General features: G+C 45.2%; 2 annotated features.

Annotated features, from left to right (window-relative positions):
* Window positions 4-946: an enhancer, noted in NCBI's record as "H3K27ac hESC enhancer chr2:10260597-10261539 (GRCh37/hg19 assembly coordinates)". NCBI's record gives its function as "activates a minimal SCP1, AML or CMV promoter by ChIP-STARR-seq in primed H9 embryonic stem cells {active_cell/tissue: H9 hESC(primed)}" and the evidence as "EXISTENCE:reporter gene assay evidence [ECO:0000049][PMID:30033119]".
* Window positions 947-1,890: an enhancer, noted in NCBI's record as "H3K27ac hESC enhancer chr2:10259653-10260596 (GRCh37/hg19 assembly coordinates)". NCBI's record gives its function as "activates a minimal SCP1, AML or CMV promoter by ChIP-STARR-seq in naive H9 embryonic stem cells {active_cell/tissue: H9 hESC(naive)}" and the evidence as "EXISTENCE:reporter gene assay evidence [ECO:0000049][PMID:30033119]".

Raw genomic sequence — 19,350 nt, 5'->3', positions numbered from 1 at the left:
AGAAACTTTAAGATCCAAGAAAGAAATCATTAACCTGAGAAAGCTTCAACAGCTGCGCTCAGGGCTGTTATTGAGAGAGACCCGGGACTTTTTTTTTCACAAAGCCTTTTCTAGATAAGATACTTTAAAGAGGGTGGGGTGGGACAGGTACCCTCCCCACCTAGGTCTGTTTCTCTCATTTCTTAAAAGTACTACGGACTTGTAAATCATAGTATTCTCGTGTTGCAGGAATAAGTGCCCATCACATTCCTTACACAAAGCCACAACTAAAACTTTGGTGTACCATGATTTGTTTAAAGCAACTCGCCATTCATCGCCATTTTCACCCCAAACACACTAAAGCATCCATCTCCAGGAAACTGGTATTTTTATTGATTACTTTATGGCTGATAAAGCTATTATCTAACAAAATTATAATTTATTGGTGTCATCTCATACTCAACTCAGATTTCAATTTCCCATAATCAGCGTCTAAAACCCTCGTTTCGGTTGCCCTAGGGCGCCACGTGCTTTTTTGCTCCTGTTAAACTCACTGTAACTGAAGTAGTCAGAGGTGGCTTCATTGATAGTTTAGTTCCTGGCCACGTAATTAACATAGCCATTGTAGAAGACGCCGAAAGATGCGTACGTGTTGTTAAAGGCCGGGTGAAGTCGCCATCCTCCCCTCCCGCGCTAAACCTGAGTCATCTCGGCGTGGCCCTCCTGCCCCCAGGTCCGGCAACTTTGCCCCGCTGCGGAGGAGGTGGCGGCGCCCAGGGCCACGCGGCAATGCGGGCGGTTCCGCCTCCGGGGAGGTCGGGCGGTGCAGCCACTCCCGGGAGAGCGCCCGCCGCAGGCTGCTGCTAGCCCCGGGATTCACTCCTTTTTCCCTCGGTGCTCGTTTTTTTGGTTTTATTTAAGTAAACAGACGAGGGTCTCGCTTGTTTGCCCAGGCTGGTCTCAAGCGATCCTCCCTCCGCCTCCCTAAGCGTCGGGATTCCTGGCGGAAGCCACTTGAGCGCGCGTTTTGACATCTGCATCTACTCCACCATTGGTCTGCACGGGAGGCCCCGCCCCGCCCCCCGGAAGGCTCCTCTGCATTCCCAGCCTCAGGTGCCCCGCCCCGTTTCCGCTGCGCGCTCGCCGGTTCACACGCCCCAGCCTGGGCAAGTTTGCAGGTCTCAGGCCAAGGTTAGCGCGACTTCCAAAAGGCTGTTCACCATTAGGGTGGAGAAACCGCGGCTCGGGGAGCTCAGCACTCACTGTGTACCAGACGCCGTGCCGAAGGTGGTCATAATAATAATTAAGGCTGCAGCACCCACAGCCTCTGGGCGCCTGGATCATGTGAGGCTGTTTGAGTTTTTTGTTTTTTGTTTTGAGACAGGGTCTTGCTCTGTTGCCCAGTCTGGTGGCTCCATGATAGCTCACTGCAGCCTCAACTATCCGAGCTCAAGCGATCCTCCCACCTCAGCCTCCCGAGTAGCTGGGACTCAAGGCAGGCACCACTACGCCAGGCTAATTTTTTAATTTTTTGTAGAGATGGGTTCTCGGTATGTTACCCGGGCTGGTCTTGAACCCCTGGGCTCAAGCCATCCACCCGCCTTGGCCTCCCAAAATGCTCAGATTACAGGCGTGAGCCACCGCCCCACCGGGGTTGGTATTTTTAACCCTTTTCATAGGTGATGAAATGAAGGCCTGGGAGGCAAGGAAACTGCCCAAGGTCGCACAGCACAACTGCACAGCAGAACGTTTTTAGCCTAGCTTTTTACTATGAATGTTTTCAACATACAGAATAATGGAAGGATTCCTAGTGTTCACCCACCAGCTAGGATTCAACAGCTGTTTCCATTTTGCCATATTTGCTTCATGGCAAATGTGGCAGACACCCCCTCTGTGGGTGTATGAGGCTTATGCTTTTTTATGGATCATTTGAAAGTGAGTGATAGATATCATAACCCATCACCCCTAAACGTTTCAGCTCCTAAAAATTAGGACACTCTGTTAATATCACCACAATACCACATTTATCCCTAGGAAAACTAACAATAATTCTCTAATATAACCTAATATCCAGTCCATATTCCTGTTTTTCCAATTGTTTCAAAAATGTCTCATAGTTTTTTGGATTTATTTTTTTGTGCAGTATCTAATTAATCACATGCATTGCGTTTATTATGTTGCTTTAGACTCTTAGTAAAGCTCCTCCACTTCTTTTCCCCACGACATTGACTTTGAAGTACAGGCCAGTTTTCTTGTAGAATGTCCCACATTCTACATTTGCCTAATTGTTTATTCACAGTGTCAATGAACTTGTTTTCCTGACCCCTGTACTCTACACTGGAAGTTAGGTCAAAAGGCTTTATTAGGCCCTGCTTGGAGGTTCACGCCTGTAATCCCAGCACTTTGGGAGGGTGAGGCAGGCAGATCACCTGAGGTCAGGAGTTTGAGAGCAGCCTGGTCAATATAGGGAAACCCCATCTCTACTAAAAATACAAAAATTAGCCAGACGTGGCAGCAGGCGCCTGTAATTCCCGCTACTTGGGTTCCCGCTACTTGGGAGGCTGAGGCAGGAGAATCATTTGAACCCAGGAGGCAGAGGTTTCAGTGAGCCGAGATCACACCATTGCACTCCAACCTGGGCAACAAGAATGAAATTCCGTCTCAAAAAAAAAAAAAAAAGTCCGGCGGGGGATCGTTATTAGCCTAAGGCTAAAAGTTATTGGCAAGAAGACTTCATACGTGATAATATAGCTAGGATTTGAACCCAGGTCTGACTAACTCCAGAATTCCAGACTCTCAAAAACTTTGTTTTAATATGAACTGCCAATTACGTATATTTATATATATATATATATAGATGAGGTCTCACGATATTGCCCAGGCTGGGCTCAAACTCCTGGGCTCAAGCTATCCTTCTACCTCGGCCTCCCAAAGTGCTGGGATGACAGGCATGAGCCCTTGCGCCCAGCCCAACATTCTTAATGTAGCACAGCACAGCAGCACCACAACCACAAGTCTCAGGAGCAGCCCAGTTCAACTTTGTAGTTAGTTTATGTGTCACTCACTCAGAAGTCAGCAGGAAATGGTTAAGCAGGAAGCAGGGTGGACAACCAGATGGAGCTGTTTGATGCTGATGTGAGTGTCACCACATCATTTGTGTCTAGAACATTCGCATTGGAGAGCTTCAGCCACTGAGAGGCCATTTTCAGGAGATGGTGAGGATGAGGCAGCCAGCACAGTGCAGAGCCTTTGGGATTAATGATTTTCTTCGTGCTCAGATAACCTCTAAAATGATGTTGAACAGTTATGTGCCACTTTACACACATTTAAAATAGACATTTAGCCAGGCACAGTGGCACACCCTTATACTCCCAGCTACTCCAGAGGCTGAGGAAGGAGAATTGCTTGAGACCAGGTATTTGAAACCAGCCTGGGCAACACAGCAAGACCCCTGTCTCTAAAACTAAAATAAATAAGAATTAAACTGACATTTAAACTTTTAGTCATAAATAGTTACAGGAGATGTAATCTCCATCATGTTGCAAATATTAGCACTTTAAAATGACAACTGGCCGGCATGGTGGCTCACACCTGTAATCCTAGCACTTTGGGAGGCTGAGGTGGGAGGATGGCTTGAGCCCAGAAGTTCAACACCAGCCTAGGCAACATAGACCTTGTCTCTGTGAAAAATAAAAAAGTAGCTGATTGTGGTGGCACGCATCTCTGGTCCCAGCTGTTTAGGAGGCTGAGGCAGGAGTATTGCTTGAGCCCAGGAGGTTGAAGCAGCAGTGAGCCGTGATCACGCCACTGCATTCCAACCTGGGCAACAGAGCAAGATGCTATCTCAAAATAAATAAAAATAAAAACCACAACTATGTGCTTTTAACTCTTAGAATTTAGAATCCACAGATTTCAGTATGTTTGTTATGCTTATTTAAAAATTCCTAGTCTGGCCAGGCGCAGTGGCTCACGCCTGTAATCCCAGCACTTTGGGAGGCCGAGGTGGGCAGATCACAAAGTCAGGAGATTGAGACCATCCTGGCTAACACGGTGAAACCCCGTCTCTACTAAAAATACAAAAAAATTAGCCGGGCGTGGCAGCAGGCGCCTGTGGTCCCAGCTACTCGGGAGGCTGTGGCAGGATAATGGCGAGAATCCGGGAGGCGGAGCTTGCCAAGATTGCACCACTGCACTCCAGCCTGGGCAACAGAGTGAGACTCTGTCTCAAAATAAATAAATAAATAAATAAATAATAAAAAATAAAAATTCCTAGTGTCTGCCACATCTTTTTTTTTTTTTTAAAAGAAACAGGGTCTTGGCCAGGCACAGTGGCTCACGCCTGTAATCCCAACACTTTCGGAGGCCGAGGCGGGCGGATCACCTGAGGTCAGGAGTTCCAGAACAGCCTGACCAACATGGAGAAACCCCGTCTCTACTAAAAAAATTACAAAATTAGCCACGTGTGGTGGCACATGCCTGTAATCCTAGCTACTTGGGAGGCTGAGGCAGGAGAATTGCTTGAACCCGGGAGGCGGAAGTTGCGGTGAGCCAAGATCGTGCCATTGCACTCCAGCCTGGGCAACAAGAGCAAAACTCCATCTGAAAAAAAAAAAGAAACAGGGTCTTGCTCTGTCACCTGGTCTGGAGTGCAGTGGTGCAATAATGGCTCACTACAACCTTCAACTCCTGGATTTAAGCAATCCTCCCACCTCAGCCTCCCAAGTAGCTAGGACTGCAGGTGCACACCACCACGCCCGGCTCATTTTCTTTTATTATAGAGACAGGGTCTCACTATGGGTCCCAGGCTGGTCTTGAACTCTTGGCCTTAAGTGATCCTCTAGCCTCAGCCTCCCAAAACGCTGACATTACAGGCCTAAGCCACTGTGCCTGGGCTTTGTCCATTTATTGATTGGGTCATTTATCACTTTCTTATTGATTTATAGGGGCTTTATATGATTTGGACAGTATTTCTTTCTATTATATATGTTGCAGTTTTAGTTTCCTAATATTCCATTTATGTCTTTTTTTTTCTTTTTTAAAAAAGTATTAAGCTTTATTTTGAGGTAGTTTAAGACACACAGAAGTTGCAAAAATGGTAAAGTTACTCATCCAGGTTACTCAATATCTTACATAACCATAGTACATTGTCAAAATCAGGAAGTTGACAGTAATTAAATTACTAACCTTGTTTGGATTTCACTGGTTTCTACATGCAGTCATGTATAGGTGTATGTGTACATGGTTCTTTGAAATTTTATCACGTGTAGATTTGAATAACCATCACCAAATCAGGATACAGAACTGTTCCATCACCACAAAGAAGATCCCTGTGTTGCTCCTAATTGTTAACACCCTAGCCTTAACTCCCGGCAACCACTAATCTGGTCTCTATCACTGTAATTTGTCTTAGATAATATTCTATAAATGGAATCATATAATGTGGAACCCTTTGAGATTAACTGGCTTTTTTTAACTAGAAATAATGCCCTTGAGATTCATCCAAGTTGTTGAATGTATCAACAGTTTCTTCCTGTTTATTGCTGAGTAGTGTGCATTTCCTTGGATGGCTGTTCACCTGGTGTGGGACATCTGTGTATTTTGCTTTCTTGTTTTATTTACTTTTTTTGAGTTGGGATCTCACTACGTTGCCCAGGCTGGACTCGAACTCGTGGGTTCAAGTGATCCTCCCACCTCAGCCTCCCAAGTAGCTGTGATCACACATGCATGTCACCAGGCCCTTGCTCACATCTTGCTTTCTAACTAATTAATTTCTTTGCTTATCCCCTCTCAAATATTGGTTGGGTTTACTTCTTTTTTTTTTCTTTTTTTTTGAGACAGAGTCTCTCTGTCGCCCAGGCTGGAGTGTAGTGGCGCCATCTTGGCTCACTGCAACTTCCACCTCCTGGGTTCAAGCAATTCTCCTGCCTCAGCCTCCCGAGTAGCTGGGATTAAAGGCACCCACCACCATACCCAGCTAATTTTTGTATTTTTAATAGAGAAGGAATTCCACCATGTTGGCCAGGTTGGTCTCAAACTCCTGACCTTCAGTGATACACGTGCCTCAGCTTCCCAAAGTGCTGGGATTACAGGCAAGAGCCACCGCACCCGGCCGCTGTTACATTTTCTTTTGAGTACGGTTTTGGCAAATCCCACAGGTTTTAATGGATAGTGATCTCACTTTTGCATTTTTTAAATAGTCTGAGATGTGGGTTTTGATTTCCTTTATTACCTAGATCTGGTTTATTTAGAATGTTAAAACTTTTCATCTCCATGTGCTTTGATTTTCATTTTGAATATCTTTTCATTCAGATTACATTGTTAGAATCATTAGATGAATTTTAGGAGAACTGACATCTTTATGATATTGAGTCTTCTAATCCATGGCCACGGTATATCCCTCCATTTATTTATGTTGTCCTTAATTTTTTTCAGTACTTTTTTTTGTAGCTTCCTATATAGCGGTCTTGCACATTTAAAAAATTTTTCTCCTGGATATTTATTATTTCTTATTCTATGATAAGTAGTATCATTTAACTTTTTTATTTTCTAAATTTATGCACTGATATATATAGACATTGTTTTTCATATTATTAACCTTAAATCCTACAACCTTGATCAATTTGTAATTAATTTGGTTTATCTGTGGACTCCTTTATGTTTTCTTCATTCACAGTCATGGTGCCTGTAAAGAATGACAGTTTTACGTCTTCCTATCCAATCTTTATGCTCATTTTTATTTTACTTTATTATCATTATTATTATTTAGAGACAGGATCTCACTCTGTCTCCTGGACTCAAGTGCAGTGGCACGATCGTAGCTCACTGCAGCCTCGAACTCCTGGGCTCAAGCAATCCTCCAGCCATCACACCATCTACATTGAATGTAATTACTTATATATTTGGTTTACATCTACTATATTAGTACTTGTTTTCTACTTACCCACCTGTTTTGTGTTCTTTTGTCTCTTTTCTTTTCTTTTTGAGATGGAGTCTTGCTCTGTCACCCAGGCTGGAGTGCAGTGACGCGATCTCGGCTCACTGCAACCTCTGCCTCCCGGGTTCAAGCAATTCTCTTGCCTCAGCCTCCTGAGTAGCTGGGATTACAGGTGCCTGCCACCACGCCCGGCTAGTTTTTGTATTTTTAGTAGAGACAGGGTTTCACCATGTTGGCCAGGCTGGTCTCGAACTCCTGACCTTCAGTGATCTGTCTGCCTCGGCCTCCCAAAGTGCTGGGATTACAGATGTGAGTCACTGCGCCCAGTTTTTGTCTCTTTTCAAATATTCTTTGGAATTAAAAAGTTATTATTCGGCTGCACCAGGCCTCACCAGATGAGTTCTACCTGGTGACTTCAGCTTACATCACGTGGAGAAGAAAAATTGCCAACCTTAGCCCCATCCAAATTCCTGATACACAAAATTATGAGATAAAATAGTGGTTGTTTTAAGCAGCTAAAAAACAGAAGTCTCATTTTGAAAGCTTTGAAAAATACTAAGGACGGGCACGGTGGCTTATGCCTGTAATCCCAGTACTTTGGGAGGCCAAGGCAGGTGGATCACAAGGTCAGGAGTTCGCGACTAGCCTGACCAACATGGTGAAACCCCGTCTCTACTAAAAATACAAAAAGTGGCCAAGCGTGGTGGTGCGCACCTGTAATCCCAGCTACTCAGAAGGCTGAGGCAAGATAATTGCTTGAAGCCGGGGGGTGGAGGTTGCAGTGAGCTGAGATGGTGCCACTGCACTCCAGCCTGGGTGACAGAGCGAGAGTCCATCTCAAAAAAAGAAAAAAAGAAAAGAAAAATACTAACAAAATTGTTTTTCATTTTTAAGATTTAAACAAAGATCTATTTTTTTTTTTTTTTTGGAGACGGAGTCTCACTCTGTTGCCCAGGCTGGAGTGCAGTGGCGCCATCTCGACTCACTGCAAGCTCCGCCTCCCGGGTTCACGCCATTCTCCTGCCTGAGCCTCCCCAGTAACTGGGACTACAGGTGCCCGCCACCACACCTGGCTAATATATATATATATATATATATATATATATATATATATATATTTTTTTTTTTTGTATTTTTAGTAGAGACGGGGTTTCACCGTGTTAGCCAGGATGGTCTCAATCTCCTGACCTCGTGATCCGCCCGCCTCGGCCTCCCAAAGTGCTGGGATTACAGGCATGAGCCACAGCACCCGGCCTTAAACAAAGATCTTAAGGTCTAGGCGGTCTCTAATAGGGCTGTAATAGTTTTTATCATATGATTTCTAAATCTTTTTTTTTTTTTTTTTTGAGACAGAGTCTCACTCTGTCCCCCAGGCTGGAGTACAGTGGTGCAATCTCTGCTCACTGCAAGCTCCACCTCCCAGGTTCACGCCATTCTCCTGCCTCAGCCTCCCAAGTAGCTGGGACTACAGGCACCCGCCACCACGCCAGGCTAATTTTTTGTATTTTTAGTAGAGACGGGGTTTCACAGTGTTAGCCAGGATGGTCTCGATCTCCTGACCTCATGACCCACCCACCTCGGCCTCCCAAAGTGCTGGGATTACAGGCATGAGCCACCGCGCCCGGCCTTGATTTCTAAATCTTAATGTCACCCTATCTCTTCCTACTAATTTTTTATCAATTAATTTTTTTAAAATAGAGACAGAGTTGCCCAGGCTGATCTTGAACTCCTGAGGTCAAGCAATCCTCCTGCCTCGGCCTCCCAAAGTGCTGGGATTACAAGCGTGAGCCACTATGCCCAGCCCCTTCCTACTAATTTCTATGTGAGTTCTTAATTGTCAGTGGTTCCCAGCTCTGTTGGCTGTATTTGTTCTTAACCATTTTTATACTGCACCTTCTTCTACTATCGCTATTATTTATCATCATCACTAGTGTCTAAATTTTGGTATTTGGCCCAAGCATGGTGGCTCACGCCTGTAATCCCAGCACTTTGGGAGGCCAAGGCGGGTGGATCACATGAGGTCAGGAGTTCGAGACCAGCCTGGCCAACATGGTGAAACCCAGTCTCTGCTAAAAAACAAAAATTAGCTGTGGGTGGTGGCATGCACCTGTAGTCCCAGCTACTTGGGAGGCTGGGGCAGGAGAACTGGAACCCGGGAGGTGGAGGTTGCAGTGAGCTGAGATGGTACCACTGCACTCCAGCCAGGGTGACAGAGCAAGACCCTGTCTCAAAAAAAAAAAAATTTATTTGGTCTTGAATTTAGAAATTATTTATTCTAGGCCGGGCACGGTAGCTCACGCCTGTAATCCCAGCACTTTGGGAGGCCTAGGTGGGTGGATTACCTGAGGTCAGGAGTTCAAGACCAGCCTGACCAATATGGTGAAACCCCGTCTCTACTAAAAATATAAAAATGAGCCAGACGTGGTGGTGCGTGCCTGTAATCCCAGCTACTCGCGAGGCTAAGACAGGAGAATCACTTGAACCCAGGAAGCGGAGGTTGCAGTGAGCCAAGATTGCGCCACTGCACTCCAGCCTAAGCAACAGAGCGAGACTTTGTCTCAAAAAAAAAAAAGAAATGAGACTATCTTTTAAAAATGGCAGTTTTATCTCTTCCTTTCCAATGCTAATATCCTATGCAAAATTTTTTTGTTGTGGTTGTTGTTGATGTTGTTTTGTTTTGTTTTGAGACGGAGACTCACTCTGTCGCCCAGGCTTGAGTACAATGGCACGATCTCGGCTCACCTGTAACCTCTGCCTCCCGAGGACTCGCTGTGTTGCCCAGGCTGGTCTCAAACTCCTGGCCTCAAGCAATCCTCCAGCCTTAACCTCCCAAAGTATTGGGATTACAGGCGTGAGCCACCATGCCCAGCCTATTTTCTTTTTTTTTAATTTAAAAATTTTTGTTTTTTTTGAAACATGCTCCACAGAAAAGCATATATTATTTTCTATGATGAATTGACATAGTTTATGCTTTATTTAGAATTTTTAAATCAATTTCTTTTCTTTTTTTTGAAGTGGAGTCTCTGTCGACCAGGCTGGAGTATAGTGGCCAGATCTCACTGCAACCTCCGCCTCCCAGGTTCAAGCGATTCTCTGGCCTCAGCCTCCCAAGTAGCTAGGATTGCAGGCATCTGCCACCACGCCTGGCTCATTTTTTTGTATTTTTAGTAGAGATGGGGTTTCACCATGTTGGCCAGGCTGGTCTTGAATTCCTGAGCTCAACTGACTGCCTGCCTCGGCCTCCCACAGTGCTGGGATTACAGGCCTGAGCCACCGCACCCCACCTAAATCAGTATTATTAATTGAAATTACCCTATAATTTTATTTTCTTGTTCTTTTTCCTATTTAGTTATATATGAAGTTTATTCTTATAAAATGAATTTTGCAACTTTTATTCTGTTGTTTAAAACACTGTATAGTATGGTGATTTTTTTGTTCATTTAATTTTTTTTTTTTTTTTTTTTTTTTTTGAGGTGGAGTCTTGTTCTGTTGCCAGGCTGGAGTGCAGTGGCATGATCTCGGCTCACTGCAACCTCTGCCTCCTGGGTTCAAGCGATTCTCCTGCCTCAGACTCCCAAATAGCTGGAACTACAGGCGCGCACCACCACACCCAGCTAATTTTTGTATTTTTAGTAGAGATGGGGTTTTGCCATGTTGGCCAGGATGGTCTTGATCTCTTGACCTCGTGATCCTCCTGCCTCGGCCTCCCAAAGTGCTGGGATTACAGGTGTGAGCCACCACACCCGGCCTGTTCCTTAAATTTTTGTCAGTAACTCCTATAAACTGTCTAGGATTAGTGTCTTTTTCAGGGGGAAAGTTTGAGACTTCCAAATATGTTTCTTTCTTGGCAATGGGTTATCCCAATTTTCTATCCCTTCTTAACTCTTTTTTGGATATTTATAATTTTAGAAAATTGTCCTGTTGATCTTAGGTTTTCACATTTATTTTAAGTTTTCATAGCATTGTTTTATCACTTTTTTTTTTTTTTCAAGGCTGAGTCTCACTCTGTCACCCAGACTGGAGTGCAATGGCGCAGTCTCAGCTCACTACAACCTCCATCTCCTGGGTTCAAGTGATTCTCCTGCCTCAGCCTCCTGAGTAGCTGGGATTACAGGTGCCCACCACCATGCCTGGCTAATTTTTGTATTTTTAGTAGAGACGGGGGTTCACCATGTTGGCCAGGCTAGTCTCAAACTCCTGACCTCAGGTAATCCACTCACCTCAGCCTCCCAAAGTGCTGGAATTACAGGTGTGAGCCACTACGCCCGGCCCTGTTTTATTACTTAAAACGTTATTGTGAAATAAAGGGAGTTTTTGAGCTTCTAAAGCATTTGTATTGTGAACCCATTTTAATTCCTAATAGTGGTTAGTTTTGGTTTCTCTGTTTTTCCCTTATTAGTCTTAGTAGAAATTTGCCAATTTTATATATCTGAGAGGGAAAAAGAAACTTGGTTTTGTTGTTTCTTTTTTTTTTTTCTTTGTATTTTTAGTAGAGATGGGGTTTCACTGTGTTGGCCAGGCTGGTCTTGAACTCCTGACCTTGTGATCCACCCACCTCAGCCTCCCAAAGTGCTGGGATTACAGGTGTGAGCCATCATGCCTGGCCCTGGTTTTGCTGTTTCTGTTTTGTTCATTTAAATATTTATTGGGTATATATTTAATCAATTTCCATTCTTTATTCTTTTGTTTCTTCTGCTTTTTTTGTTTACTCTGTGGATGTTTTCTACTTTCCTGAATTAAATACTTAGTTTATTTTCACTATCTCTGTTTTATAATAAATGATATAAATCTCCCTTCAAATAGGATTTTAGCTGCATTCCAAAGGTTTTGATATGTTACATTTATACTGAACAGTAGTTTGAGAGTAGAATTCCCTGGGCCAGAGTTATTTTCCCTCAGGCCTCTGGCATTGTTACTCCATTGTCCATTGTCAGTTGTTTCTTGTGAGAAGTCTGCAGTTGTGTTTCTCTTCATAAGTTTTGAGATTTTTCTCTTCCTCTTTGGTATTCTGAAATTCTATTCTGATGTGATTACATGAATGCTTACTTTTCTTTATCTTGCTTAGTTCCCAGATTGTATTTCATTGTGAAATCTCATGTCTTAAATTCTGAAAAATGATCAGCCAGTTTTTCCTCTGGTGTGTCTCATCTGCTATCCCCTTTTTTCTTTTTTTTTTTTTTTTCTGAAGTTCCTAACTGCTGCTTGTTGGGGCTACTTAATCTATACCCAGGCTTTTAACTGTTCTCATGTTTTTAAAAACCTATTTCTCTCACTGTTCAACATGTTATTATTCATTAGCTCCAATCTCTTTCCTACCATTCTGTCTTTTTTCTAATTCACCTTGCACGGTGCTACCAGATTGATCTGAAAGTGAAATTCTAGTTATTGAACCAGTGAATCGTGAATCATGATTTTAGAAGTGAATCCCAAAAGCCTTTGATCCTACCCCTCTTGGTTTATGGGAGAAAAAAATTTAGATCCATGCCAGGTGCAGTGGCTCACGCTTGTAATCCCACCACTTTGGGAGGTTGAGGTGGGAGGATCACTTGAGCCCAGGAGTTCAGGATCAGCTTGGGTGACACAGAGCATGTTGTTGCACACCTGTGGTCCCAGCTACTCAGGAGGCTGAGCCTGGAGGATCACTTGAGTCCAAGAGGTCACGGATACATTGAGCCATGATGTACCACCACACTCCAGCCTGGGTGACAGAGTGAGACCCTGTCTCAAAAAAAAAAAAAAAAAAAATTACATCCAGAGATAAAGAGAATCTCCCAAAGTCACACAATAGAAGAACAGGCAGGGGAGCCTCATGGAGTCTAATATAAAGTTGCCTGGGCTGCCCCTTTGAAGGAACACCTACCCTAGCATAGCATGAGACCCCCAACTGGCACTACACAGGGAACACAAAGATAACAGGGGAGGCTGGGCGCAGTGGCTCATGCCAGTATCCGAGCACTTTGGGAGGCTGAGGTGAGTGGATCATTTGAGGTCAGGAATTCGAGACCAGCCTGACCAACACGGTGAAACCCCATCTCTACTAAAAATACCAAAAAAATTAGTCAAGCGTCGTGGCACATGCTTGTAGTCCCAGCTACTCGGGAGGCTGAGGCAGAAGAACTGCATGAACCTGGGAGGTGGAGGTTGCAGTGAGCCGAGATCATACCATTGCACTCCAGCCTGGGCGACAGAGTGAGACTGTCTCAAAAACAAACAAATTAGCTGGGCGTGGTGGCGCACACCTGTAATCTCAGCTACTCAGGTGGCTGAGTCATGAGAATCACTTGAACCTGGGAGGCACACGTTGCAGTAAGCCGAGATGGTGCCACTGCACTCCAGCCTGGGTGACAGAGTGAGACTTTCTCTCTAAAAAAAAAAAAAAAAAAAAAAAGATAACAGGAGGGAACACCTACCTCATCTTCTGGGCCTTTTAATTGCTCTGAATCATCATAAGACAAGGGAAAGGAGATCACTTTTATTCCAATTTTGTGATTTTTATCATTAACTTTTAAAAAATCATTTTTAAAAATGGTAGTAAAATACATACAGCATAAAACTTACCATTTTAGCCATTTTTAAGTGTGAAGCTCAGTGACATTAAGTATATTCTCATTGTTGTGCAACTATTGCCACCATCTACTCACAGAACTTTTTTATGTTCCCAAACTGAAACTCTGGACCCATTAAATAATAATTCCTCAGGACAGACGCGGTGGCTCACGCCTGTAATTCCAGCACTTTGGGAGACCAAGGTGGGCAGATTGCTTGAGTCCAGGAGTTGGAGACCAGCCTGGGCAACATGGCAAAAACCTGTCTCTACTAGAAATATAAAAAATTAGCCTGGTGTGGTGGCATGTGCCTGTAGTCCCAGCTACCAGGGAGGTTGAGGTGGTAGGCTCCCCTGAGCCTGGGAGGATCGAGGTTGCAGTGAGTCGTGATCATACCACTGTACTCCAGCCTGGGCCACAGAGATCACCCTGTCTCAAACAAAAAACAAACAAAACCTCCTCATTCCCCCTCCCTATAGCCCCTGACAACACCATTCTACTTTCTATCTCTATGATTTTGACTACTCTAAGTACCACATATGAATAGAATCATATATTGTTTGTTCTTTTAGTGACTGTCTTATTTCACTTAGCATAACATTCTCAAGGTTCATTTATGTTGTAAGATGGGTCATAATGTCCCTTTTTTAAGGCTGAATAATAATCCATCGTGTGCATAGACGGCATTTTGTTTATCCAATCATCTGTGGATGTTTGGGTTGTTTCTACCATTTGGTTATTATGAAGAGTGCTGCTATGAACAAGGGCAAGTGTACATGTTCCTGTAAAGAAAAAGACAGGAAGATGGGGGAAAATTTCGAGCTTCCTAGAGAATTGTTAAATTATCATGACCAAAATGTTGATAGCGATATGGACAATGAAGCCCAGGCCGAGGTGGTCCCAGGTGGAGATGAGGAACTTACTGGGAATTGGAGTAAACGTCATTCTTGCTATGCTTTAGCAAAAAGACTGGTGGCATTGTGCCCCTGCTCTAGGGATCTGTGGAACTTTAAACTTGAGAATGATGATTTAGGGTATCTGGTGGAAGAAATCTTTAAGCCGCAAAGTGTTCAAGATGTGGCCTGGCTGCTTCTAACAGTGTATGGTTATATGCATGAGGTGTGAGCAAATTGATGATCTGAGGGCTGGGTGTGGTAGCTCATCCCTGTAATCTCAGCACTTTGGGAGGTCGAGGTGGGTGGATTACCTGAAGTCAGGAGTTCAAGACTGGCCTGGCCAACATTGGGAAACCCCATCTCTACTAAAAATACAAAAAAAAATTAGCCAGGCATGGTGATCCACACCTGTAATCCCAGCTACTCTGGAGGCCGAGGCAGGAGAATTGCTTGAACCTGGGAAGTGGCAGTTACCGTGAGCCCAAGATCACGCCACTGCACTCCAGCCCGGGCGACAGAGCAAGATTCCATCTTGAAAAAACAATACAAAACAACAACAACAAAAAAAGCAGAGATGATCTGAAACTGGAACTTATATTTAGAAAGGAAGCAGAGCGGCTGGGCGCAGTGGCTCATGCCTATAATTCCAGCACTTTGGGAGGCCGAGGCGGGAGGATCACTGGAGGTCAGGAGTTCAAGACTGGCCTGGCCAACATGGTGAAACCCCATCTCTACTAAAAATACAAAAATTACTCAGGTGTGGTGGTGGGCGCCTGTAATTCCATCTACTTGGGAGGCTGAGGCAGGAGAATCACTTGAACCCAGAAGGCGGAGGTTGCAATGAGCCGAGATCGCACCATTGCACTCTAGCCTAGGCAATTAGAGTGAGACTCCATCTAAAAAAAAAAAAGCAGAGCATAAAAGTTTAGAAAATTTGCAACCTGACCATATGGTAGAAAAGAAAGCCCATTTTCTGGGGGAGGAATTCAAGCTGGCTGCAGAAATTTGCATAAGTAAAAAGGAGTTAAATATTAACAGCCAAGACAATGGGAAAAATGCCTTGAAGGCAGGCCCTCTCATCACAGGCCCAGAGGCCTAGGAGAGAAGAACAGTTTCATGGGCAGGGCCCTGCTGCCCTGCGCAACCTCAGTACACTGCTCCCTGCATCCCAGCCACTCCAGCTCAGCCATGGCTAAAAGTGCCCCAGATTAATCTCAGGCAGCTGATCCAGAGGGTGCAAGACATAAGCCTCAGTGGCTTCCATGTGATGTTAAGCCTGCAGGTGCACAGAGGGCAATAGTTGAGGCTTGGCAGCCTCCACCTAGATTTCAGAGGATGTATGGAAACGCCTGGATGTCCAAACAGAAGTTTGCTGCAGGGACAGAGCCCTCAAAGGAAACCTCAACTAGGGCAGTGTGGAGGGGAAATGTGGGGTTGAAGCCCCCACACAGAGTCCCCACTGGGGCACTGCCTAGTGGAGCTGAGAAAAGGGGCCACCATCCTCCATACCCCAGAATGGCAGATCCACCAGCAGCTTGCACCATGCACCTGGAAAAGCCACAGGCACTCAATGCCAGCCTGTGAAAGAAGCCAAGGGGGATGTATCCTGCAGAGCCACGGGGGTGCAGATGCCCAAGGCCTTGGGAGCCCACCCATTGCATCAGTGTGGCCTAGATGTGAAATATAGAGTCAAAGGAGATTATTTTGGAGCTTTAAGATGTAATGACTGCCCTGCTGGGGTTTGGACTTGCATGGAGCCTGTAGCCCCTTTGTTTTGGCTGATTTTTCCCTCTTGAAATGGGTGTATTTACCCAATGCCTGTACCCCCATTGTATCTTGGAAGTAACTAACTTGCTTTTGATTTTACAAGCTCATAGGAGGAAGGGACTTACTTTGTCTCAGATGAGACTTTGGACTATGGACTTTTGAGTTAATGCTGAATAAGTTAAGATTTGGGAGACTGTTGAGAAGAGAGGATTGTGTTTTGCAATGTGAGAATGATATGAGATTTGGAAAGGGCCAAGGGTGGAATGATGTGGTTTGGATTTGTGTCCCCACCCAAATCTCATGTCAAATTGTAATCCCCAGTGTTGGAGGAGGGGCCTGGTGGGAGGTTATTGGGTCATGGGGGTGGATTTCCCTCTTGCTGTTCTCATGATAGTGAGTGAGTTCTCATGAGATCTGGTTGTTTAAAAGAGTGTGGCACCTCCCCCTTCTCCCTCTTCTGCCTGCTCCAGCCAGGCAGGATGTGCCAGCTTCTCCTCCACTTTCTGCCATGATTGTAAGTCTCCTGAGGCCTCCCTAGCCATGCTTCCTGTACAGCCCGTGGAACTGTGAGCCAATTAAACCTCTTTTCTTTATAAATTACCCAGACTCAGGTAGTTCTTTATAGCAATATAAGAACAGACTAGTACATAAACATAACTCTATGTTTAATTTTTTCAGGAACTTCCACTTCCAACTTCAGCAGCTGCACCATTTTACATTCCTACCAGCAGTGCACAAGGGCTCCAATTCCTCCACATCCTCACCTATGCTTATTTTCTGCTTTGTTTTGTTTTAATAACCATTTTTTTAATTTACATGTCCAACATTAACTTTTTTAGAGGTATTTTAACAGGGTGACAATGTAGAGTTTGGAACAAAAATGATCCTGTTCTCTGCTGCATATCACTTAGCCCTGCCTAGTGAAAAAGGTTGAAAAAGTTGGACAAAAGATTAGAGATTTGTTGAGGTGGGACATGGTGACAGAGGGGCCTTAATTTTAGTGCCTCTGGAGTCAGACAGACCTCAGCTGACTCCCCCTCTGTGCACTCAGAATGTGTAACTGGAAGCTCCCTGGCCTCACTGAGCTTTACCCCCCATCTATAAAATGAGCTATTGATACTTCAGTAGTGTGTTGTGAGGCTTGCATGAGTGAACTTGCGGCGGGCAACAGCACAGTGCCTGCACATCGAATCCTCAGGGAATGCTAGCTGGTGCAATGACTGAGCTCTGCTGGGGTTTTCCAGGGCCCCCTCTTTTTTTTTTTTTTTTTTTTGAGATGGAGTTTCGCTCTTGTCGCCCAGGCTGGAGTGCAATGGTGCGATCTCAGCTCACTGCAACCTCCGCCTCCCACGTTCAAGTGATTCTCCAGCCTCAGCCTCCGTGGTAGCTGGGATTACAGATGCTCACCACCATGCCCAGCTAATTTTTGTATTTTTAGTAGAGACAGCATTTTGCCATATTGGCCAGGCTGATCTCGAACTTCTGACCTCAGGTGATCCGTCCATCTCAGCCTCCCAAAGTGCTGGGATTACAGGCGTGAGCCACCACGCCCAGCCCAGGGCTCCCTCTTTACCCACCACTCAAAAGCCCCAAGATGACACCAGGAGGTGTTACCATTCTTCCCTGGTGGAGCCTGAGAGGCAGGCCCGAGAGGCTTATCTCAATGTGGCCCCATGGGGATGGCAGTCCTGGAGAGATCAGTGAAGTCAGACATTGGCCCTAGTGGGTATGCATGTTTAGAAGCCTGAAGGATCACACTTAGGATGGGTTGACAAAACCAAAGTGGCAAGACAATGTTCCAGGAAGTGGAGGGACAGGTTGGCGTGGGAAGAGCAGGGCCCGGAGACACAGAGGCTGGGCTTCAGCTGTCCTGAGGTGCTCTGGCTTCCCTGTCTCATCCCACTTGGCAGAAGTCCCAATCCTCAAAGGCCCCAGGGTGCCACGTGATCCTCTCCCAGCTCCTCTCCCTGTGCCCTCCCCACACCCACCCCTCCAGCCGCAATGACCTCCTCCTGTTCCTGGGAAACTGAGGATACAACAGCTGCCTCAGGGGCTCCTCTGGCCTTGCAGCTCCTTCAAGGCTTTCCCCAAAGTCACCTTCACTGCGAGGCCTCCGTCATCACTAGGCTCGAGTAAAACCCTAAACACTTAGCCTGCACTCCCCACTCTCTGGCCCCTCCTGATCTTTCTCCATTGCACCAATTGCCTTCTCCATAATACTGACTTCTTCACTTGCTCACATTTCCTCATCCCCTCTAGAATGTCGGATGGACATTTTTACCTCTTCTGCTCACTGCTGCATCCCAGCATCTAGAATGACACCTGGTACACAGTGGACACTCACCGGAGGAACACAGAAACAGAGGGAGGTAGAGTTCTTGTTTCCAAGGAGATTGCAGTCATCTGGGAAGACAAAAGAAATGTATATAAAACAATTATTTAGTACCACAGCAAAGCTTAGACTTATTCAATTTTTTTTTTTTTTTTTGAGATGGAGCTTTCCACTCGTTGCCCCAGCTGGAGTGCAATGGTACAATCTCAGCTCACCGCAACTTCTGCCTCCTGGGTTCACGTGATTCTCCTGCCTCAGCCTCCCGAGTAGCTGGGATTATAGGCATGCACCACCACGCCCAGTTAATTTTGTATTTTTAGTAGAGATGGGGTTTCTCCACGTTGGTCAGGCTGGTCTTGAACTCTTGACCTCAGGTGATCCGCCCGCCTTGGCCTCCCAAAGTGCTGGGATTACAGACATGAGCCATCACGCCCAGCTGACTTCCTCAATTTTTGAATTAAAATTTATTGTATGTTTCCCATGATAAAACTAATGCAGGCTGGCTGCAGTGCCTCACACTTGTAATCTCAGCACTTTGGGAGGTCAGGTGGGAGGATTACTTGAGCCCAGGAGTTCGAGACCAGCTGGGCAACATAGTGAGACCCTGTCTCTACAAAAAAGAAAAAATTATCTGTGTGGTGGTGCACACCTGTAGTCTCAGCTACTCAGGAGGCTGAGGCGAGAGGATTGCTTGAGCCTGGGAGATTGAGGCTACAGTGAGCCATGATTGTGCCACTGCACTCCAGCCTGGATGACAGAACCATAAAACAAAAAAACTAGTGCACCTTCATTGTAGAGAGTAAGAAAAAATAGACAGAATAAAATCATCCCTGTTCTAATCAACCAGAAATAGGCACCAGTGGAGTTTAGACTAAGATTTTGTCTTAGTCATGGACA

Source organism: Homo sapiens, chromosome 2, assembly GCF_000001405.40.
Source record: "Homo sapiens chromosome 2, GRCh38.p14 Primary Assembly".
Taxonomy (NCBI): Eukaryota; Metazoa; Chordata; class Mammalia; order Primates; family Hominidae; genus Homo; species Homo sapiens.
The sequence above is the reverse complement of the archived record's forward strand: the minus strand, read 5'-3'. Positions and strand labels throughout refer to the sequence as shown.